Source organism: Homo sapiens, chromosome 13 (assembly GCF_000001405.40).
Source record: "Homo sapiens chromosome 13, GRCh38.p14 Primary Assembly".
In the NCBI taxonomy this organism is placed as follows: Eukaryota; Metazoa; Chordata; class Mammalia; order Primates; family Hominidae; genus Homo; species Homo sapiens.
The window spans coordinates 77,296,270-77,321,843 of NC_000013.11; the positions used below are offsets into that span (position 1 = coordinate 77,296,270).

Consider the following 25,574-nt stretch of genomic DNA (forward strand, 5'->3'; position numbering starts at 1 on the left):
ATTAGCTGGTTGTGGTGGCATTTACTTGTAGTCCCAGCTACTCAGGAGGCTGAGGTGGAAGGATCACTTGAGCCCAGGAAACTACTGGACTCCAGCCTGGGTGACAAAACAAGACCCTGTTTCAAAAAAGAAAAAAAAAAGGCAAGAAAGAAAAGAAACACCCAAAAGAAAGATGAAACTAAAAGAGGAACCAAATCATAAAGGGCTTTTACAAAATTACTTCAGCACATACTAATAAAATGGTTTAATTATATTTTTTAATCTTGGCATTTTTATTCAAATCACCATATGAAAAAGTCCTATTCCTTATCAATTACCAGCAGCTTTACCTTGCTTCTTGTCTTCACTTTTGATTTGCTCTTCTGTTTTCTTTTCAATTTCTTCTTATTTAAAATTTTCTTATTCCTAAATATTAAAAGAAAAATGGGAAAAAAATATGAATGTTCATATTAGGACATACAAAGCTATCAAAAATGGGTATTTCCAAAGTAGACATTTGGATCTTTTTCTTGCAAAATTTCTTTATGTGAAACAATATACTTTACATACACATATAAGATACTAACATATAAAGTAGCTATTGAGAAGATAACATGGGGCAGCTAAGCAATATACAATATATATTAAATGATAATACAAATTTGAATTCTGCAAAAACATAAACTTAAAACATTAAAAAGGCATCAAATGAAGTGTTTTATACTTTATCCATAGTGGGATGTTTACAAATGTCAGTGATGTTTCCAAGAAAAAAAATCTGCTCTTTTTGGTAGTGAGGGCTACGGTGCAAAGGGACTTAAGAGCCACTTTTTACTAAACTACTATAGGAAAATCCCCAGCTCATATACTTTATGTCTCCAGCAGCCAGTCTGGATACTTCATTATCACATAGTCCTAAGACCAAATTATTCTTTAAGCAAAAGGAAGCCCCTGAATAACTTTTGAGAAACAGAAAAAAATATGTGATAAAGAATAAGAATTATGGTGCAAGAAACAAGAAGCAAGGAAAACATTTTATTTTCATTTCACTTAATATGTTTTATGTTCACCATGCTGAGATGCAAAGTAGTAAAGACACAAAATGAAAAAGACAGTTCTTGTCCCCAAGGAGCTCAGAGACTTGAATGGAAAGCACAGTTTAGTGATCTAACAAGAGGATACTACTGCTGTAATAAAGAAAAAAGGATGAAGTCGGGGGGAAGAGGGAATGCAGGGAGAACGAAGGGGAGGAGGTTGTTCCAGATGCTGAAGGGGTCAAGTCCTTAAGATTTGGTAACTAATTTAGTAACAGCAGTGACAAAAGAGAAAAATTTTAAGCCTAGGTCACTTGGAGGTAGACAATGTCACTCTTAAAAATAGAGAAGTTAGAAGGAAGAGTTAGCCTGCTGGAAAAAAAGTAATGGGTTTGATTTTGAAGATGTGTAACTTCAAAATACCAAAATGTCAACAAATAGACAAGAGTAACAAGCAGATGAAAATGTTATCCTTGACATTGCCTTCAGTTTCACTCTTGAAATCAAAATAATCACAAAATCTGGTCAATTATATCTCATAAACAGTTATTGAATCTGTCCACACCATCTTTACTGCTGCAATGCTAATAAGCTAGGTTACCACCACCTCTTACCTGGACCACTGCAAAAGCTTAACTCATTTCTGCACATCCATACCCTTCAATCCATTCTTCACATAGGAACCTAACTCAACTTTTAAAGACACAAACCTGAGTGGATAATTCCCCAGCTTAAAAATCAGTATCTTCTCAATTCTCTTAAGATAAAGTCCAAAAGCACCGACATCGTTTAAAAGATCCTCTTCCAATAACTGACCTCCATCAATCTCTCCTGCCTCATTTTGCATTCTTTTCCACCTGATTCATCATACTCCAGCAAGAAGGATATTCTTTCAGTTGTCTGAACCTGTTAAGCTTCATCACAACTTTCACAAAGGTTTTCCCTCTTCCTGAAATTCTCTACCACGTCTTCTCCTGCTAACCACTACTTATCTTCGAGGTCTCAGCATAAGTGTCACTTAAGTCTAACTCCCCACACTGGATGAGTTTCCCTAATATACACTCTCATTCATCGTATATTTATGTTTCATTGTACAGCCAATAACTGTAATTATGTATGGAACTGTTTAATGTATTGCTTCCTCGCCAAGCTAAAAGCTCCAATAGTGCAGGGGCCCTGTCTTTCTTGTTCACTACTCTAGCCTCTGTCCAGAAAAGTTCCTGGGATATAGTACTCAACGAGTATTTTAAGAGAAAGAGAAAGTATAAGAGAAAGAGTGAGGAAGGGGAGAAATGAGGAAGTTGAGAGCTACAGCTACATGCCTTACTCAGAGATTAAAATAAGGTATCTACATCTATGGTATCGACATGAGTGCATTTAAAGCATCTCTAGCCAGAAAGGCCCACTAAGGAGTTATCCTTGGGATTATTTTGCACAGACTTTAGTACAAAGGAGGTCATGGAAACTATGTATGTGGATGAGATTTCCACAAGATAGTATGCCATAAAAGTAAAGAGAAAGAGAAAGATTAACAGTGCCAAATGCTAAACATAAATACATATACCTGCTTATAGAATCTACTCAACTACTAGCATTGTGAGGGCATGATGAATGTCTATTTCAACTGTGTACTTTCAGCACCTGCATCAATGTGAAGCATCAGGGATGGTCAATAAATATCAGATGAACAAATAAATAAATAAAACACAATACGTATTCTTCATACTATTTAGGAAACCAACTTTCCTTTATATTAAAGATTACCTGAGTGAAATCAGGTATTTGAGCAACAGGAATACATAACTACTAAGAGGTTAGCCCCTTCTATATAACTTATAAAAGCATCAAAATTTATTCCAAACCAATTTTCAGAGAAGTAGAATATATAAATCCAAATTCAGATAGATTTCCTAAAGACAAGTTATAACTGACTCAAATTTTCCCAATTAGAGACCAATGTTTGTGTCTGTTTTATCTAATGGAACTTCTTTAAAGTTCAAATGACTTTACGTACATTTCTAAAATACTTCTTTCTATGCATGATGGCATTTAATTGGTTGTAACAATTCTTATGAATCTGAACCCATCAATTCTTAAGTACAGGCCATCCAAGAACTAGCTATTCCCAAATTAATTATAAATTACTTTTACTGTGTTTTTTGTTGTTGTTGTTGATTTGGTTTGCAGAGGAAGAGGTAGAAGTTTTCTAAAAGAGCCAGTAATAAGTTGAAAATTATATAAACAAAATTTGTATTCAACATTGGAAAATTTAAAAATGCCATTTGCTAGTAATATAACACACCATTATATCTCTATATTTGAGAACTAAGCTTAAACCTTTCACAATATCTGAGGATGGGAATATAAAAGAGAAACTCTAAAAACCAGTCTTACACATTAACAATTTAACTTGGAATTTCTGATGATTTAGGGCTTTATATTCTAAATCAATCGAAGCTTAATGAAGAATGTCTGGAATTGGTCCTGTAAGACTTTCAGTCTTCTCACAAAAATAACTTCATATCCATCAGATTTGAAAGAATTGTGGTTGACAATAAAAGGAAAAGGCTATTAACATGCCTTAAATATTTATCTTAAAATATTTACTTTAAAAATTCCAAAAATATTTTCTTAAGAGCTACACTGCTTAAGAAAAATCAAATACTTCTGCAATATAAGAACAAATCAATTTTGCAAATTATTCAGTGATATAGATCAATAGTTTCTCTATCAGCTTATTACTGAGTATACTTTATACCAAAAATGTAGTCATAATTTTAAAACCTCTTTCACTCAAATCTGCTTCATTTGCAAAATAAAGAGATGAAGGAGACTGAGGTTCCTTGTAAATCCTCTAAAATGCTAAGATTTTAATAAATCCAAATTTACAGAACTTCTGGAATAAAATGGTTTCAATCTTTTGCTTAATTTCTCTTAGTAATAAGAAATAAAAAATTCCTGAGCCTGTGATGTAAAGCAGGAATAGGGAAATTTTTTCTGCAAAGGGCCACACAGCAAATATTTTACACTTTGTGAGTCACAAGATCTCTGTTGCAACTACTCAATGGTTACAGCACGAAAGCAGCCATCGGCAGCACATAAAGAGAGGAGTGTGCATATATTACAATAAAACTTCCAAATTTCACATAATGCTCACAAAACATTCTCTTCCTTTTTTATTTTCTTTTCAACCTTTTAAAAATGTAAAAACCACTTTTAGTTCACAGGCTACATAAAAACAAGAATTGGGCCTCATTGGTCTGTGGGTCTTTGTTTGCTCGCCCCAGATCTGGGGCATATTTTGATAAACAGGCCCATATCAGAAAGGAAAAAAATGCTTTATAGCTATGAGTATGCAACACAGATAAAACTATTCAAAACATCACTATGCTTATAAAAATAAGCACTCCTAAAATTATCTGCCTTTTCTTTTTATAAAGATAAACTTCTGACTTCCACTTCCCTAAAGTAAGTGATTAGATAGGAGGCAGGCCAATGCGCCTGCTTCAAAGACCAGACTAACCAACGTAAGAAAGCTGTGGAAGCAATGAGGACTAAAAGAACAAAAAATCCAGAGGTGGAAGAGCACTTCCAAGGCAGCTGAGACCACTGGCTTGTTCTTCCATGGGGGTAACTGCAGAGCTTGGGCATGAGTAAGGACTGAGCTTGGCTTAAGCAGAGGAACTCTAATAAAGGAAACAAGAGACTAGTAGTGCTTTAGATGCCCATGTGGGCTGAAATGACAGACTGGAATCTAGAAAAGCTCTAGATACATAGACAGCTTTCCCAGTGGTATATCTCCTCAGAAATGTAACTGGAACACTGAAGGATGATAGAGAGGCTGGGTCAAGGCTGGGCGCGGTGGCTCACACCTGTAATACCAGCACTTTGGGAAGCTGAGGCGGGCAGATTACTTGAGGTCAGGAGTTCGAGACCAGCTTGGCCAACATGGTGAAACCCCGTCTCTACTAAAAATGCAAAAAATTAGCTGGGTATGGTGGTGCACGCCTGCAATCCCAGCAACTAGGGAGGCGGAGGCAGGAGAATCGCTTGAACCTGGAAGGCAGAGGTTGTGACGAGCCAAGAGCCAAGATCGCGCCACTGCACTCCAGCCTGGGCTACAGAGCAAGACTCCATCTCAAAAAAAAAAAAAAAAAAAAAAAAAAAGAGGCTGGGTCAAAAGGGAAGAGAAAACTTCCGTAAGAAGACAGAATCCTAGTAGAGGGAGGGAGCGGTCTATGTAATCCCTCACTGGATTGAGATAATCAAACTCCTCATTCTATCTGTCTGACACAGCAAAGAGCACACCTCTCTAGGAGAAAACACATGATCTGAAAGAAAATCATGTTCATTCATACACAGTGTTAGTCTAGTTCGGGGACACTAAGTAAACACATTAAGGGACATCAAAAGAAGCAAAATATGTGGCAGACACATAATCAAGAGAAAACCAGAAAATTAGTCAGACTCACAGAAAACCCAGATATTAACGTTAGGAGGCAAGTACCTGAGATGCAGAGATTAACAATATGTGTAAAATAATGCAATTGGCAATTTTCAACATAATTTATAAAAAAAGAACCAAGTGGACATTCTGAAACTGAAAAATAAACATCTGAAATTAAGAACTTCTCATATGATTTTAAAAGCAGAGTAAGTTACAGAAAAACAGGTTTCACAGACTTGCAAACAGGCCAAAAATAAATAAATAAATAAATAACAGAATTCAATCACGGAAACAAAAATGGGATGAACCAAACAGAGAACGAGACATGTGGGACAAAGTCAGATGGTCTCATATTCATATAATTGGAATCCCAGAAAGAGAGAAAAAAGAATGGAACAAAAGCAATATATGACAAGATAATTACTGACAATTTCCCAAAAGTGAAGAAAGAAATCAACTGAGAGATTCAAGAAACTCAGGGAACTTTAAGCAGGAAAATCCAAAGAAAAGCATACCTAGGCACAGCATGGTCATATTGCTAAAAGCAAAGCATAAAGAGAAAATCTTTAAAGCAGCCAGAGAAGAGATATGCTTAAAGGAACAATAAAATTGATAGTTTCCATTCTTTGTGTTGAAAAGGGCTGGGGGGTGGGGAGGGGGAGGTGGTAGAGTGGAGGGATGGGGGTTAGAGGTGGGGGAAAGTAACCTGGAATCATGTAACCTTTAAGAATGTATCTTTTAAGAATGAAGACAAAAATAAAGATGTTTTTAGATCCATGAAAGCTGATATAATTCACATAAAGGATTCTAAAAGTATCCTGTAAGAATGAAGACAAAAATAAAGATGTTTTTAGATCCATGAAAGCTGACATAATTCACTGTCAAGAGACCAATATTACAAGAAATACTGAAGGAAAGTCTTCCTTTAATAACTGTAATATCATAATTTTAAATGAAAGGATACATGCTAAAAGGACAGAAAAAGATGTATCTCAAGCACACTCTCCAGTGTCCCAAAAAAAGTTGGAGTGGCTATTTTAATATTTGACAAAGTAATTTTTAAGGCAACAGTATTAAAAGAAATGAAAAGAGCATTTCTAAATGGCAAAAGGGTCAAATCATTAGGAAATCATAACACTCCTAAATTTGAATGCATCCAGTAACACAGCTTCAAAATATATAAAGTAAAATTGACAGAAGTTAAATGGGAAAATACAAATCCACAATTGAAAGAGTAAGTTCTAACATACCTCTCTGTAACTGATAGAACAAGTAGAGACCAAAACAGCACTGACATAGAAAAACTTGAAAACATGATTAATCGGCCAGGCGCGGTGGCTCATGCCTGTAATCCCAGCACTTTGGGAGGCCAAGGCAGGTGGATCATGAGGTCAGGTGTTCGAGACCAGCCTCACCAACATGGTGAAATACCGTCTCTACTAAAAATACAAAAATTAGCCGGGCGTGGTGGCACGCACCTGTAATCCCAGCTACTCAGGAGGCTGAGGCAGGAGAATCGCTTGAACCCGAGAGGTGGCGGTTGCAGTGTGCGTAGATCACACCACTGTCCTCCAGCCTGGGCGACAGAGCGAGACTCCGTCTCAAAACAAACAAACAAACAAACCATGATTAATCAACCTGACCTAATTGGCATACATACAGAAACATATCCAACAACAATAGAATACATATTCTTTTCAAGTGCATATAGAACATTTACCAAAATAGATAATATGCTGGACCACAGACCAAGTCTAAACAAATTTCCAAGGACTGAATGATAAGGTAATTCTCTGGTCATGGAAAAATTAAACGAGAAATTAAAAAAAAACAAACAACTAAGAAATTCCCAAATGTTTGGCAATCAAAAAAACAAGACTTCTAAATAAACTATGGGTCAAAGAACTAGTCACAATGGAAATCAGAAAATATTTTCCATAAAATGAAAATGAAATTTGACATAACAAAATCGGTAGAATGCTGCTAACGCAGTACTTCCACAAAATGCATCTCCTTTTGCATACACATAAATGCATATACTGAAAAAAAAAACACTGAAAGTAAATTATCTAGACTTACAACTCAAGAAGCTAGAAAGAAAACCACAAATTAAATGCAAAATATGTAGTAGAAAGGAAATAAAAATAAGAGTAGATACCAATGAAATGGAAAGCAGACATTCAATAGAGGTTATCAGGGAGCCAAAAATTGGTTCTCTGAAAAGATTAGTATACATAACAAAAAGACAAAAAATAAATGCTATTGAAGATGTGGAGAAAGTAGAACTACACTGTTGATGGGAATGTGAATTAGTACAACCATTGTGGAAAATAGAATGGAGGCTCCTGAAAAAACTAAAAACAGAACTACCATATGATCCAGCAATTCCACTACTGGGTGTATATCCAAAGGAAAAAAATCCGTATGTTGAAAAGATTCAGAACTCCCATGTTCACTGCTACACTATTCACAATAGCCAAGATGTGGAATCAACCTACGTTTCCATGAGCAGATGAATGGATAAAGAAAATGTGATATATATACACAATGAAATACCATTTAGTGATTAAAAAAGAGTAAAATTCTGTCATTTGCAGCACCGTGGATGAGCCTGGAGGACATTATCTTAAGTTAAAGAAGCCAGGCAAAGAAAGATGAATATGGCATGTTTTTACTCATATGTGGAAGCTAAAAAAGTTGATCTCATAAAAGTAGAAAGTAGAAGAGTTGTTGAAGAGTAGCCAGGGGTTGGCTAATGGATGCAAAATCAGAGCTAGAAAGTAGGAGTAAGTTTGAGTGTTATATAGCACCACAGGGTGACTATCATAAACAACAATGTATTATACAACTTCAAACAGCTAGAAGAGAGGATTTTGAATGGTCTCATGACAAAGAAATGATAAAATGATAAATGTCGGAGGTGATAAATATGCTAATTATCCTGATTTGATCATTACACATTGTAAACATGTATCAAAATATCATATTATACCCCATGTATAAGTACAATTATTTGTGAATTAAATATATAGCAAATATTTTAAAATAAAATGAAATAAATATAATAAACCTAGAGCAAAAATGGTCAGGAAAAAAGTAAAAGCACAAATTACCAATATGAGAAATAAGAAAGGAGACATCACTACAGATGCTGCCCATAAATTTGACAAATAAAATGGATAAATTCCTTGAAAAAATGTAACTTCTCAACATTAAACAAGGGAAAAAAAATGTAATATCTGAATAGTCTTCTATATATTGAAAAAAAACTGGATCCCTAATCAAAATCTATCCACAAAGAAAACTCTAGACTCGGATGGCTTTGTTGGTGAATTCTTCCAAATACTTTAAAAATTCACTGGTAGTTCTTTCAAACATTATCAATGTTAGACTCTTTTAGACAATATAAAAAGAAGAAACATTTCCCAACTCATAAGACAAGCATAACTCTGATATCAAAATTTGAAGAGAACATTTCAAAATACAAAAATTTCAGACCAATATCTCCTATGAACATAGAAGCAAAAATACTGCACAGCCAAAAAATAGCAACAACCCAAATGCTCACCAACTAATGAATGTATAAAGTGTAGCACTTCCATATAAGAGAATGTTGTTTACCCATAAAAAAAGAATGAAGTACTGACTCATGCTACAACATGGATGAACCTTGAAAACATTATGCTAAGTGAAAGAAACAATGGCAACAAAAGGTCATAAATTGTATAATTCCATTTATATGTAATGTCTAGGTAGGCAAATTCATAAAAACAGGAAGTAGTAGTTGCCAAAAACTGATAGAAAGGAGAATAGAAACTGACTGCTAATAGCTTTGGGATTTATGGAGAGACAAAAATGTTTAGTTGTATGACTTTGTGAATATACTGGAAACCAATAAGTTGTATAAAAGGGTGAATTTATGGTATGTGTATTACCCCTTTTATTTTTAAAAAAAGAGAGAGCCATTTACCTACAAATAATTTTGTCTAACAACATGTGGAAAGAATAAATACATAATCAACATAATTCAATATAATAACAGAACAAAAGAAACAAAACATATGATCACTTCAATAGAAACAGAAAAAGTATTTTTAAAACTCAACAACCACTAGTGATGAAACTCCTTGGTGAACCAGGAACAGATTTTACTTAATCTAATACAGATTATCTATAAAAAACCTACTTTTAACAGTGTATTCAACTATACTGAATGTTGAAAAATTAAGTATTTCCACTTAGGCATAGGAGGAAAATGCAAGGATTTGTACTATCACCACTTCTGTTAACACAATATTGAAGGTCAGTAAGTGATGCAAATGAAATAAAAGTCATAATGGTTAAAAATTAAAAGTAAAGCATTTTTTATTTGTAGATAATTATATTTATAGAAAATACAAAATAATCCACAAATAAAGAATTAACAAGGGAATTATCAAGGTCACTGGATACAAGACCAACTTTTAAAAATCAATCTATGAAGCACCTTATGTAAACTGAAGCTTTTCCATAGAAGCCAGATTCATTCTGTGTAATTAATGTAATGATACTCCTATCATGTTCAAGCATCAATGAATAAATTAGGGAGGAATAGTTATCTCATTACTAAGTAGAAAACTTTTATTTACTTAACCTAGCCGGCTAATTAGTAATAAGAAAGAGATTTTAACAGTTCAACTTGATTTAGGGGAGAGATGAAAACAGATTTCTTATATATAGCTTCAGTCTCTTGATCTTATTTGGAAGTCTTCACATGGGGGGAGGACTATAAATAAAGCTACCTTGGCAATGGGCAGAGCAGCAGAAGGAAAAAGAAAAGAGGGTAGGGGAATATGGAAGGGAGCATAAGTGAGGGGAAGAGAACTCTCTGAAAAGCTTTGGCTATAGACCCTGCCTCATGCATATTTGTACTCTTAAGTAAACATAGGCTAGGTAGGCCAGGGAAACTCAAGCCTTGAAGCAATTGTAAAACTGTAACACTTTCTAATGATATCATGAATACAATCTATTCATCCCAGGCCTCAGAGAACAACAAGAGGAATGAGAGCAAGCAAATAACTAAGAACACAGAGATACAAGGCACTCTGAGTGAGAACAGCAGAACTAGGCAACAGAAAGACACCTATATAGACTTCAGATGGTGGGATTTTCGGAAAGATTGCAACAAGAACATGTGTATCAAATTTAAAGAAATAAAAGACTATCATTAAAATATCTGCAGGGAATGGGGAACAACCAAGCACATTTGAAAAAAAATCAAACTAGACATGAAAAATAACTGACACTACAGACTCCATAGGTGGATTTAAGTGTACAGGACACAGCTGAATAGAAAATTTAAGATCTAGAAAACAGATCAGAAAAAGAATCTGGAATTCTTCACAGAAACATAAAAAGGCTAAAAATATGTCCCTGAGACCTTTTCAAATCTGAAACTTCCTCCTTCCCCCATCCCAAAAGAGACAGCTCTTACTCTATCCAAGTATGCACTTCCTCTCATACACCAGATCCCATTTCATTCACCATCCTTGAGATTTTGCTCAACCATACATCCCTCTCTTTGTTTACCCTTTATGCTTTTTTTCTGTGGTTTCTAACCTTAGAGGCCTACTGTCATTCTCCAATTCAAAAGGGGAAAAAAGTTTAAGTAATCCTCTATCCCTCTTCATCACTAAATTTCTTGAAGAAAAAAATGGTCCTGGCCTGGGCAACATAGCAAGACCCCGTCTCTATTAAAAAAAAAAAAATTAGCCAGGCACGGTGGCATGTGCCTGTAGTCCCAGCTACTCAGATGGCTGAGGTGGGAAGATCGCTTTGGTCCAGGAGTTAGAGGCTGCACTGAGCTATGGTCATGCCACTGCACCCCAGCCTGGATGACAAAGTGAGACCCTGTCTCAAAAAAAAAAAAAAAAAAAAAAAAAAAAACTTCATTGTATTGAAGTTTTTTAACACCTTACTATCAAACTCATGCAAGTCTATGAGACTTCTCAATACCACAAACTTTCTAGTAGCCAATTCAACTGCCCATCTTCAGTCTTTATCCTTCACATTCTCCTACATACGATAACTACCAAACAGTGCCTACTTCTTTACATCCCTGCCCCCTGTCCCGCCAGCTTCTAGAACCTCTACTTTAGTGTTCCTTCTACCTCTGATGGTGGTTCCTTCTCAGTCTTCTTTACTGGCTCCTTTTTCTTCCTCTTCCTGTCCCTTAAGTCTTTACTACATATATCACTTCTAATGTGAGCTATCTGCTCATGTTCTATATTCACTTCTATACTGGTTAGTTACAAACCTTGTTCAATAAGCTATAACAACCCTAAACAATAATAGCTATTGGAGTTACTGAACATCATTAGACTGCTGGTCTAGAGCCAGTTAAGTTCTCTATCAAGGTACATCTACCATAAAAATCTAGAACCTTTCCAGCTACTTCAAAATCCCTCCCCTACCCATCAACTCAGAGCAGAGAATCTAACCATCTATTTAACCAATAAAATAGAGACACCATTACAAATGTACTCCCTTTGCTTTTCTTCCACCCACCTTGAAATGATCTCTAACCCAGGGCCTTACTCTATTAATTATTCCCATTCTCTCTCTCTTTTTTACTATCCTTGCCCTTTTCCTTCAGCCTGCTATGTCAAGATAGGTTAAGAGTACAGAATTTAGAAACAAATGACTTGGGTTCAAATACAAGCTCTGTCATTTACCAGCACTGTGATCTTGGTATTACTTTAATCTCTCTGTGCCTCAGTTCTCTCATCCATACAATAGGGTGAAAACAGTACCTCTCCCACTGGATGATGTCACACTTAGAATTATGCCTGGTATTTAGTAAGTGCTAAACACATTTTTATTATTATTCCCATGCCAAATTCAAATGTCTACCTTGGTTTGGGTTTCCCCAGAAGCAGACGTCAATTCAAGAATTCAAGTGCAGTAGTTATTTTGAGAGGTGATCCCAGGAAAAACACCAGTAGGGAAAACAAAAGTAAAACAGGGAAAAGAAGGAAGTCAAGAAAGGACATATTATGAAGCCAGTTACCCTGATGGGGAACTAGGGCCTGAACCAGTGGAGAACTCTGGTAGACAGCAGAAAACATGGCTCAGTTATCCTAAATGCAGGTGAGACAAAGGTATTTATCTACCAACTCCCCATCCATCACTGGTGGAAAGTTTTTCTGAAGGCATTAACTCTCTGGCGCATGTGAGTTGCCCTGCACACAGGCCAAGTGTGTTTCTTTTCAGGCAGATAGTCATAGATGTTTGCAGAAGACAGTATGCAAATGGATGCCAAAGGGATATGGCTAGGACACTAAGAACATCTCCTACAGGTTATCTAATCCAAAAGATTAATTATTTGTCTCCTTCCTTAAGCTACTGCCTTCCTTCTTGCCCTTTAAACATTATTAAACACTATTTCTAAATACTCCCATGTCCAGCCTCACTTTCCCACTTTTCCCTGCCTCCTGAAAAAAGGAGGTGAAGTGAGTGGGTGTTGGCTCATTATAATTTCTTATTGCCAACCTCAAGAACCTATCTCAGACTTCGGTTTCACTGGCCTAAGGGAAAAGAGGCAGTTTGTGAGTGACAGTATGTTCACGAGGAGACTTTGAATATACTGAACATAATGTATCTGAACAGGACTGAGAGAATCCTAGCAGTAGACTTTTCAAAATACAGGCTAGAACTTAAGAAAAGAGGTTTTACCTAAAAACCACAGACCAGGAAGTCAAATGCATATCTGAAATCATAAGCCTGAGACAACCAAAGAAGAAAATTCAGAGAGAAGAATCCCAAGAATGGACTCTTGAGAAACTAGCTCTTCCTCCCTTTCTATCTAGATGAAAATCATTATTATATTTGCACTTGAGATCTAGTCACCTGCTAAATATATCATTAAATCCACTTTATTCCATCTATTCCCATTATCTTTTCTCAGTATTTTCACTTGTCAGAGTTACTGCAACTGTCTCTTTAAAGGTAGCCCTGCTTTGCAGATCTGCTCCTTTTCATTCATCCTCTATAACACTACTAGAGATTATCTTTATAAATTGAAAGTTTAACTCTACCATTACATTGCTTAAAAACCTATGATTGGCTGGGCGCAGTGGCTCACGCCTGTAATCTCAGTACTTTGGGAGGTCGAGGCGGGCAAATCACGAGGTCAAGAGATGAAGACCATCCTGGCCAAGATGGTGAAATCCCATCTCTACTAAAAATACAAAAATTAGCTGGGCGTGGTGGTGGGTGCCTGTAGTCCCTGCTATGTAGAAGGCTGAGGCAGAAGAATCTCTTGAACTCAGGAGGCGGAGGTTGCAGTAAGCCAAGATCGCCCCACTGCACTCCAGCCTGGCAACGGAGTGAGACTCCGTCTCAGAAAAACAGACAAAAAAAAGAAAACAAACAAAAAATACCCTATGATTGTTCCATACTATTTTCAAATAAAGCAATACAGGGAACATAATAACCTAGTCCTAACATATCTTTCTAGCCATATCTCCTACCTCCTCATTTTTATGCACCCCGCTACCTACATTGTAGTTATTTCCAACATTTCTGTTTTGCACTTCTTTGATTCCCTGAATTCACAATGTAGCTCCAGCAACGATTACCACCTACTCAGGGGTCAGCAAACTATAGTCTACATGCCAAAAACAGCTTCCTGTCTATCTTTGTAAATAAAGTTATATTGGAACACAGCCATGCTTATCCATTTATATATATTGTCTGTGGTTGCTTTCAAACTAAAGAACAGAGCTGCATGGTTGCAACAGAGACTCTATGGCCCATAAAGTCTAAGTTATTTACTATCTGGTCATATAAATATGTCATATATATGATTATAGACACATATGATATCAAACAGTATCATATATATATAATTGGATTCCCAGAAGGAAATAAGAAATTGAGTCTGAAATAATATTTGAGGAAATAAAGGCCAAAATTTGCAAGTTAAATAAAAATTGACATCACACAGATCTAACAAACTGAAAGGATACCAAGCAGGATACACACACACAGAGACACAGACGTGTGTGCGTGCGCATGCACACACACACACACACCATATTTAGGTACAATACAGTCAAGCTGCTAAAAATCAATAAAAGGGAAAATCTTTTTTTAAAGCCAGATAAGAGAGTTCTGGTTCCAGTACATTGGCATAAACCCCAAAACAGCCTATTTTCCCCACTGTTTACAACTACTTTGGGCAAAATTTTTAAAAAGACAAAAAAAGTACTTCAGGACTCTGAAAAACAAATAAAAGCAAATTCTGGAGGGGAGTCAAAACTTGGAAAAGTGATTCACAGAAGAGTAAATTTCCCAGTTTGGTTGTTTTTCTCCTTTCACTAACAGCTTTGCCTGAAGGCCAGGAAGAGATCACTGCATTACAGGGCTACAACCCAAAAGTTAAAATTCCAAGTTAAAACTCTTTCTGGCCAGAGGAACTGAGAAAAGAAACTGATATGATGGAAAATGGGTAAGAAGTCCTGAAAAAGAGTAAGACACAGAAAGGGATCCCCTAAACAACAAAAAACACAACATCCTCCAGAGAATTATAATAAACCCTAGAGTTTACAAAACATAACATTAACCATGTCCAAGATACAATCCCAAATTCTCACAATGCAAAACACAAGAAAAATGTGAACAACTTCAAGGGAAGAGACAATCAAAAGATGCCAACCCTAAGACGATGCACATGTTGTAATTATCCAACAATGACTGGAAGGCAACCACTATAAATATGCTACATTGAGGAAAGACAAGGACAACTGAATGGAATGGAAAGAGGTTCTCGGCAGGGAAAGAGAAGTTTTTTTTTGTTTTTTTTTTTTTGTTTTTTTTTTAAAGAACCAAATGTAAATGTTAAAAGTGAAATAAACAATACATAAAAAGTTCACTGGTTGGACTCAATAAGAAAATGGAGATGGGAGAAAAGAGTCTGTGAACCTGAACGTGTATCAATAAAAATAACCTCATCTGAAAAACAGAGAAAAAAAATTGATAGGAGACTGAACAGTTAGAGGCCTGTGAAACAATCTCAAAAGTTTTATCATAATTGCCACTAGAATTTTGTAAGGTCAGAAGAAAGACACAATGGTAGAAAACATTCTAAACTTAGTGAAAGCCAAAAATTTACCGATTTGAGAAGCTCAGTACTCTTCAAAGAGGATAAACTTAAAGAAAATGACTAGATACACATCAAATTAAGCTGCTGAAAACCAAAAACAAAGAAAAAATTTTTGAAAGCAGCTAGAAAAAAATTACACACCACACAGAGGGGAATAAGGTTTACATTACAAAGATTTTTCACCAGAAATCAGAGAAGTGAAAAGACAGCTAAATGGCATCATTGAGGTGCTCAAGGAAGCAAGCATCTACTCGGAATTATATATCCACCTAAAATATCCTTTAGGAATGAAAGTAAAATAAATACATTCTCAAAGAAAAACAAAGAGAATGTATCCCCAGCAGACTGATCTGCTAGAAAAGCTAAGGTCAACATTAGGCTGAAAGGAAATGCTGCATCTTCAGGAATGAAGAAAGAGCAATAGAAACAATAAATATATAGGAAAACACAAAATACTAGATTTTTCCTCTAAGTTCTATAAAGTACACATGACTGTCGACAACAAAAACTATAACATTGTTTGGTGATGTTTGCCAAGTATAGTATGCATGACAACTATAACATAAAGGTCTCTGGGGGAGGGGAGAATAAAAGGATCTGTAGGGTTGCAAGGTTTCTGTGTTTTAAGTGAATTAGTATAATAATAACCCTAAGTAGCCTGTAAAAAGTTAGGTATGCATACTGTAATCCCTAGGGCATAAAAAAAGTAAATACAAAGAGATATTGCTGAAAAGACCAATAGAGCAACTAAAATGAAATACTCCCAATAATCCCAAAATATAATCCCAAAGAAGCAGAAAAGGAGGAAGAAAGGAACAAAAAAAGAGAAACAGAAGACAATAAAGTGGCAGACCTATCACTGTTGATATGGTAAATATGTCAATAATTAATCATATTAAATATTAATAATCTAAACACTCCAATTGAAAGGCAAAGATTGACAGTGGATTTCTTTTTTTAAGGGCAAGGTTCTATACTAGTTGCCTAAGAGGAGAAACTTTAAATATAAAAACATAAACATCCAAACAACACTTATCATCCAACTTTAACTGACATTTATAGAACTTCATGTCCAAAGATGACCGAACACATTCTTCTCAAGTGTGTATAATACAATCACCAAGACAGAACATATCCTGGGCAATAAAACAAATCTCAATAAATGTTAAAGATCAAAATCATACAAGGTTTATATTAGAAAGTAATAACAATAATATATTAATATGTAAGAAAACACCATATCTGAAAGTTGTAATAATTTTAAACAATAAATTGGAAAATAATTTGAACTAAATGACAAATATATAGCAGTCAAAATTTGTGGGATGTAACTAAAGCACAGCCCAGATAAAAATTCATAGCTTTAAATACTTATATTGGAAGAAAAATTTAAAATCAATGGCCTAGGATTCCACCTTAAGAAATTAGAACAGCAAAGTAAACTTAAAGAAAGTAGAAAGAAATAAATTACAATGATGATGGAAAAGCCAATGAAATAGAAAACAGATCAATAATAGAGAAAATTAAGAAAGCCAAAAGTTGGTTCTTTGGATCACATACAAAGAAATGAATCTAGAAACAAACCTTACACCCTTCACAAAAATTAACTCAAAATGGAAAACGGACTTTATATGTAAAATGCAAAACTATAAAACTCTTAGAAAATAACACAGGAGAAAACCTAGATAACTTTTTAGCTACAACACCAAGGTACAATCCATTAAAGAAATAATTAATAAGCTGAATACTAAAATTAAAAACCTCTGCTCTGCAAAAGACAATGCCAAGAGAACGAGAAGACAAGGCACAGATTGAAAGAAAATATTTGCAAAAGACACATCTGATAAAGGACTGTTATCCAAAATACCAAGAACTTTTTTCCCCATCTCCTCAGTTACACCCTCACAGAATACCAAGAACTCTCAAAACTCTAACAATAAGAAAACAAACAACTCAATTAAAGATGGGGCAAAGACCTTAACAGACACCTCACCGAACAAGATATATAGATGGCAAATAAGCGTTATGAAAAGATGTTCTACATCATATGTCATCAGAGAAATGAAAAAAAAAAACGAGATTCTACTACACACCTATCAGAATGGCCAAAATCCAGAACATAGACAACATCAAATGTTGGCGAGGCTTTAATGCAAGAGGAACTCTCATTTATTGCTGGTGGAAATGAAAAATGAAACAGCCACTTTGTAAGACAGTTTGGTGATTTCCTACAAAAACTAAACCTACTCTTAGCACGTGATCCCACAATCACTGTTTCTGGTATTAACCCAAAGGAGCTGAAAACATGTCCACTAGATTTAACCATTCCCCAATGTATATGTACTTCAAAACATCATGCTGTACATTATAAAAACATACAATGTCATTTGTCAATTTCTAAAAAAGAAAATGTATGTCCACACAAAAACCTGCACACAGATGTTTAGAGCAGCTTTATCCATAATTGCCAAAACTTGGAAGCAACCCAATTGTCCTCCAAACTCACCAAATTGTAGGTGAACAGACAAATTCTGGTACATCTACATGGTGGATTATTCAGTGGTAAGAAATGAGCTATCAAGTCTCATACACAAAAAAAGAATGAACCTAAATGCACATTACTAAGTGAAGGAAACCAATCTGAAAAGGCCACATACTGTATGATTTCAACTATAGCACATTCTGGAAAAGGCAAAACTATGGAGACAGTAAGTGATTACCTGGGGTTGAGTGGCAGAGAAACAGGAATAGGTGGAGCACAGATGATATTGAGGGCAGTGAAAATATTCTGTATGATACTACAGTGATAAATACATGTCATTATACATTTTTCTGAACCAAAAAATGTATAACCCCAAGAGTGAACCCTAATGTAAACTCTGGACTTGAGAGTGATTATGATGTGTCAGTGGAGGTTAAACAATGGCCACAAAAATGCCACTCTGGTGGGGGATGTTGATATGGATGAGGCTATGCGTGAGTGGGGGAAAGGGATAGATGGAAAATCTCTGTACCCTCTTCTCAATTTTGCTATGAACTTAAAACTGCTCTTAAAAAAATATTTTTTTTAAAAAAGGAGGGAGTTATTATCAGAGATCCCATAGACCTTAAAGGATAATGAAAGAATGCTATGGATAACTTCATGCTAAAAACTTCAACAACTTAGAAGTATGAAATGAATGAACTTCTCCAAAAAAATACAAGTTACCAAAATTGACATGAATAATAACAGAAAATCTGAATAACGCTCTAACTATTAAAGAACGTGAATTTGTCAAAAGCTTCCCCAAAATAAAATTCCAGGACCAGATGGTGCCACTGGTGAATTCTGTCAAACATTCAAGAAGAAATAACAACAATCTTACGCAAACATTTTAAAAATTGGGTAGGACTGGGTAGGGTAGGATTACTATGTAACTCACTTTATGAGACGAGGATAACTAATTCTAAAGCCTGACAGGATTAGCAAGAAAAGAAAAGAAAAAAAACCGATTACAGACCAATATCCCTCATGAATATAAACCTGAAAATTCTTAGCATAATACCAGCAAATCAAATTCAGCAATACATTCCAAATATGATGGTTTTATCCCAGGAATGCAAAGTTAATTTAACATTCAAAAATTAATTAATGTAATTCAATTTTCCTTTTGTTCTCTTACTATATGATCATTTTAACAGGTAGAGGAAAAGCATTTGACAAAACTCAATACACATTTATAATTAAAAACTATCAGCAAGCCGGGTGCGATGGCTCACGCCTGTAATCCCAGCACTTTCAGAGTCTGAGGCAGGTGGATCACCTGAGGTCAGCAGTTCAAGACCAGAGTGGCCAACGTGGTGAAATCTCATCTCTACTAAAAATACAAAAATTAGTCAGGCATAGTGGCGTGTGCCTGTAATCCCAGCTACTCAGGAAGCTGAGGCAGGAGACTTGCTGGATCCCGGGAGGCAGAGGCTTCAGTGAGCCGAGATTATGCCACTGCACTCCAGCCTGGGCAACAGAGCAAGGCTCTGTCTCAAAAAAAAAAAAAAAAAAAATTAAAATATAAAAAATAAAAACTATCAGCAAAGTAGGAATACTAGGGAATATCTTCAAATTGATAGAGGCCATTGAAACACCTACAGCTAATATCATACTTAATGATTTAAAAAACTGTAAGATTAATTTGTAGTTGTTTTTCTCTCAGATTAAAAACAAGGGAGAATTAAGTAATTGGAATAAAGTAGGGGCTGAGGGGTAGGAGAATCTAGAGATCAGAAAGAAAGACAATATGATTATTTACACAGAACATCCCAGGGAATTTACAAAACTATTAAAGTTAATAAATGAGCTTAACAAGATCAGAGATACAAGGTTAACATTCAAAAGCAACTGTATTGTTATATATTCATATCAAACAACTGAAAAATAGGAAAAACTAAACTAGTTACAGTAGCACTAAAAACCATAAAATGCCCCGATCAACCAGTTCATTCAGGCTGCCCCCAAGAATGATCCATCACCTAGGGCCATCACCTATTGCCAAAGGCAATGCCCATATTGGAACTAGGGAAGAGTCTGTAGCCAACCAATGTTCCCAGCAGTCGTGGGGGAATTTTGAGCACATCAGTGCTGGGCAGGGGCTCTGGGTTCCACAATACAGGATTCACTATATTTCGCCTATTATACAATTAGGATTCACTTGCTTCAAATAAGGCATGGAAAAAGTTCCTCCAGAATTCTGGTGAGTGTCATTTCCTGGAGAAACTTTCCAGAGGAAGGAAAGTGGGTCAAACCACAGCCCCAGCCACTACAGACGGTAAAATTGATATCAACAACTCTTCTCTACTAGCCATTCTAGATTCCTTTAATCTATGGCTAGTATTTCTGTTGGTCCAGGTGGCTGACTTCATGGGGTGGTCACTGGGCCTTTCTCGTGTCCATTTACCACAAACACTGGACAAGGAAGTACCAAGAGACACCTTATAGATCACCTGTGTGCCAAACCTCCATGCTCCACTGTGGAACACAGCCCTACCTCCTCCACATGAACAAGGACATTAACCCTGTCCAAATGGTGACTTCTTTTTTTGTTGTTTTTTTTTTGTTTTGAGATGGAGTCTTGCTCTATTGCCCAGGCTGGAGTGCAGTGGCGCAATCTCGGCTCACTGCAACCTCCACATCCCAGGTTCAAGCAGTTCTCCTGACTCAGCCTCCCAATTAGCTGGGATTACAAGCACGCGCCAACATGCCCGGCTAATTGTTTTGTATTTGTAGTACAAACAGGGTCTCACCATGTTGGCTGAGCTGGTTTCGAACTCCTGACTTCACGTGATCCACTCATCTCGGCCTCCCAAAGTGCTGGGATTACAGGCGTGAGCCATCGTGCCCAGCCTGGTGACTTCTTTATTTAGAAAAGGAGCCCCAAATCCTAGTGGCAGCTGTACTTTAAAGTATAACAGGATTCTCATAGCGCCCTCTGTTGGAAATGTTTCTCTTCTGAGAACCAGGATCTTTTAACCCCTTGCCATCAGAGCTATGGAGATGGGAAGCAGAAACTGCCCAGGTGATTCACAGAGTGATGCTATGCGGAGCCACTCCTAATTTCATGTGATCTTCCTACTGGGAACACTGGAGAATGGGCGCCTCACCCTTGCAGGGCATCATGCCCAAGCTGCAGGATCTCATCATCAGCTGTGCCATCAAAGGACTGTTTTACTGCTCTATCAAGTCATCAGCTTCTGGACGGTGTGGTGCAAGATGGGACAAATGATTCTCCTATTCTATAAAAGTGGGTCCCGGCCGGGCGCGGTGGCTCACGCCTGTAATCCCAGCACTTTGGGAGGCTGACGTGGCCGGATCACGAGGTCAGGAGTTCGAGACCATCCTGGTCCACATGGTGAAACCCCGTCTCTACTAAAAACACAAAAATTAGCTGGGCGTGGTGATGTGCACCTGTAGTCCCAGCAACTCAGGAGGCTGAGGTAGGAGAACTGCTTGAACCCGGGAGGCGGAGGTTGCAGTCAGCTGAGATCACGCCATTGCACTCCAGCTTGGGCAACAGAGCAAGACTCCGTCTCAAAACATAACATAACATAACATAACATAACATAACATAACATAACATAACATAACATAACATAACATAACAGTGGGTCCCTTATTCTGAAATGATCCCTGTAGTAGAGGATCAAACATCCTGCAAGCCCTCAAACAGTAGTCCTGGGTGAGACCCTGCTGGAAAGACAAATTCAGACCCAGAATATGTCTCAAATCCAATCAAAATGAATCATGGTCCTTTCCACTGTATAAGGACTGGTTGGCCTGCTTGAAGGATGATTGATCTCTGCTGCTGTCAGGCTGGATATTCAGCAGCAGCAGTTGCTAGATCAGCACTGGTGAATGAAAACCCTTTTATTGGGCCCATGCACAGCCATCATCGGTAATTTTTCCATGCACTCATAGGCCAAAAGAAATACCAAACAGTAGTGTTTATTAAGTAGTTAGATCCAAATAACAAGAATTCATGTCCTAACAAATGAGTAGACATTTGAAAAAATAACACATAAATTGGAAGAAAAATATTTTTATTTCCTTCTTAAAAACTACAAATACTGGGCCAGGCGCAGTGGCTCACGCCTGTAATCCCAGCACTTTGGGAGAACGAGGCAGGCGGATCACGAGGTGAGGAGTTCGAGACCAGCCTGACCAATATGGTGAAACCCCACCTCTAGTAAAAATACAAAAATCAGCCGAGTGTGGTGGGACACGCCTGTAATCCCAACTACTCAGGAGGCTGAGGCAGAAGAATCACTTGAACCTGGCAGGCGGAGGTTGCAGTGAGCCGAGATCGCACCACTGCACTCTGGCCTGGGTGACAGAGCGAGACTCTGCCTCAAAACAAACAAACAAACAAAAACTTCAATTACTTGATAATATGACATGTGTGCCTGTTAGACACAGAACAACTTCTCAAACTTGGAATCAGACTGAACATGCCACCCTCCTTTCCTGTTCCACACTGATTTTTGCACAGTGCTTGATCTGTATCACAACTAGTAAAAATCCAACCCTGCAAAAATATGACATCATCAAAAGAAATGTGGCATGAGCTAATGTCAAAACCGTGAACTACCTCAAGCTAGTAATTTGTGACAGATATTGCTGTGTTTCCTTTAAAATTCTGAAATATCCCATGGTATTCTTTTGTGTCTGTGGTGGTGCTTTGGGGTGCCTTGGTGCAGTTTGGGAACGTGTGTGTGTGTGTGTTTGTGTGTACAGTCCCTTCCTCCCTTCGCAGATCCAGCACCCCGAACTAGGTGTTCTTGTGACTTAACCCTAGTTGTTGGTTTGGTGATAGTCAGTAGGCGAGAGAGGAGGAGCTGGGGGTAAGAGGGACAGCACAGTCTGCAAGCAACCCCTCTAGCTAGTAGAAGAAGGCCACTTCTGCAGGCCCAGAGGGTTAAGAGGAATTTGGGGTTTCAGGGTTTTCAAGTGCACTCAGATGCCCCATCCTAAGGGTCAGGATTCCTGCCCAACCAGAACACTGACCTTAGCATAGCTGAGAGAGAATTCTACCTACCTTGGTGCTCTGCTACCCTTAAAATTAAGTTTTGGGTTGAAGCCTTAGATTTTTCCTCTTACTGTATATGTGTTTCTTTACATGATGCTAAATAAATTTCCTTTTACATTTTGCCCCCAATTATCTTCCACCTTGCATCATCTTTCTCCAATCTATCAATGTTATTTACCAAAAGCCATCTGATGATTGTCCTCATAATTAATTTCTCTGAACTTCTCAAAAGCCTAGTGCACTCACCAGTGCATTCCCTTCAACAGGAATAGCATTCCAACTCACCACCAGTGAAAGTTTTAAGTTGCATAGCTACAGTGCATGCCAAGCGTTATCAGTATTAGTGCTCCATCTAGCACCAGAATCGATTCTCATTGCCAGCCAGCCAGCCAATAATCCAGCTTCAAAACCTCACTGTAAAGTCTACTTTCTGAGACCACTCCTGGCACCAACTGCTTTGGGTAGGAGGGTTCCCAGGAAACAGACTCTCAAATGCAGATGTGCACACCGGAAGTTTATTGCGGAGTGCCCTCCGAACCAACAACTGTGGGGCAGTGAAAGACGTAAGACTGAACAGAGGAAGGAGTTGATCTGCAATGCAGTCCCAGGAAGCCCTCAGCCAGACCCATGGGAGAGCTCTCTGGTGTTGGGATAGACTTCAAGGTTGGCTTGTCTTATAGCAAAAGCGCTAGGCATTTATATCCCTACACTGTATAGATATTAGATGTAAACTGCCCCTGAAGAGGAGGCATGACTCTGGGGGAGGCAACTCTTGGCTCAGGGCAATGCGTGGAGTGGGACTCAGCTGCAATCAGTTTTAGCTGCCAATATTGCCAAGAGCTAGGGGAACATGTGCCTGAAAGCGGGATCTGAAAGCCTAACCACAGCACCTGCCACACCACCACTGGACTATTACACCAATTTGGCTAATGAGGGAAGAGAATTAAGCATTTATGCTGCTGGATTAGGAGAAACTACATTTCACTGACAGTCAGTGAAGGCCAACTCTTCTTTGCAGAAGAGTACCAGCTAATAAACATAGAAGAAATAACAGAATTATTTTTTAATTCATCATTTTGCAACCCCTAATGAAATTATTGACTCAGACAAGGATTATCAAAGAATGCTAAAAGCATTAGGTAAAAGGCATTCACAATGTGCTCAAATTTTTACCCTGTGATTACTTGTTCTTTACAAATGGAAAAAGCATACATTTACAGAGATGAAATCTAGTAGGTACCGTCTTACCCAAGTAATCAGATTTAACATATTAAATAGTGAGACAACCTCACAACCTCTGGATGGGATGCAACATGCAGTACCCAGCGCCATATACAATATTCTTGCTAAAAAATTTTCTAATGAACACCTAATAAACCCTTAAGGTCTAGCTTCCACTTACAGGAAATACAGATACAAGACAGAAAGATGAACAATACCTGGGGGCCCTGCCCTTAAGGAGCTAGATTTATATGACATTCTAGAAAAGGTAAAATATTAGTGACAGAAAACTGATTTGCAGCGGTCAGTAACCAGGGGTAGGAGGGCCTGACAGAACTTTTTATATGAAGTGATGGAAACAGTCTATACTTGACTGTGGTGATAGTTTCAGGACTCTTCAAATGAACATTTAAAGAGGATGAATTTTATTGTATATAAATTAAACCTCAATTAACCTAACCCCTCCTCAGAAAACCTAAATGTTTAATCTGGTTTTTGAGAAAAAAGTGAGACTATTCTGTTGATTTTTTAAACAAATATATTAAAGGACAAAAGTATTTTTAGATTGACATTTTTATTTTCCTTTTAAGCCCAGAGGCAAGATTTTTTTCTTCTCTTGAGTTAGGAAACTAATTCATTTCACATTTCTACCTACCAGTATACCAATAGAGCAGTTTTTGCCTTAACTTGTGTTTATACACTATACAGGATTCCACTGATATAACAGCTACATGAAGAAAATTACTACCTATGCACAAATACAGATGTACACATACAGATTCAATCCCGCATTACTTCCTGACATATTCCTACAATAAATAACGTCTCTTCATAGCTTAAAACCATCAAGGGTGATCAGTGTCTACTGAATAAAATCTAATTCTTACCTTGGTCTTCAAGATGCCCCATCCTAGCCAAAGCCTCCATTTCCAGAATGAATTCCACTACTGTCCTTCATGACACCTGCATTCTAGCTCTAACAGAATTCCTACTGTTACCTACATACAAACTGTGCTTTCCTGTCTCTGCTGATGCTTTTAAGCCAGCCTAGAATGCCATGCCTTTGTCATAGTAGGTTATACTTTCTTGGTCATTTCATTTAACACTTCTATAAGTATCTGCCTTTGTATCTTGCACTTCCAGATAGACAGTAAACTCAAGTCTAGAATTTGTGTCTTATAAATTTTTATAGG

At 37.1% G+C, this 25,574-nt stretch overlaps 1 protein-coding gene across 1 annotated transcript in view; it reads right to left on the reverse strand.

Annotated features, from left to right (window-relative positions):
* MYCBP2 (MYC binding protein 2) overlaps window positions 1-25,574 on the reverse strand; it is a 282,438-nt gene that overhangs the window by 251,613 nt on the left and 5,251 nt on the right. The window contains exon 2 of the mRNA NM_015057.5: window positions 330-405. Within this exon, the coding sequence (NP_055872.4) occupies window positions 330-405 (76 nt within the window). The remainder of the gene's footprint in view (window positions 1-329; window positions 406-25,574) is intronic.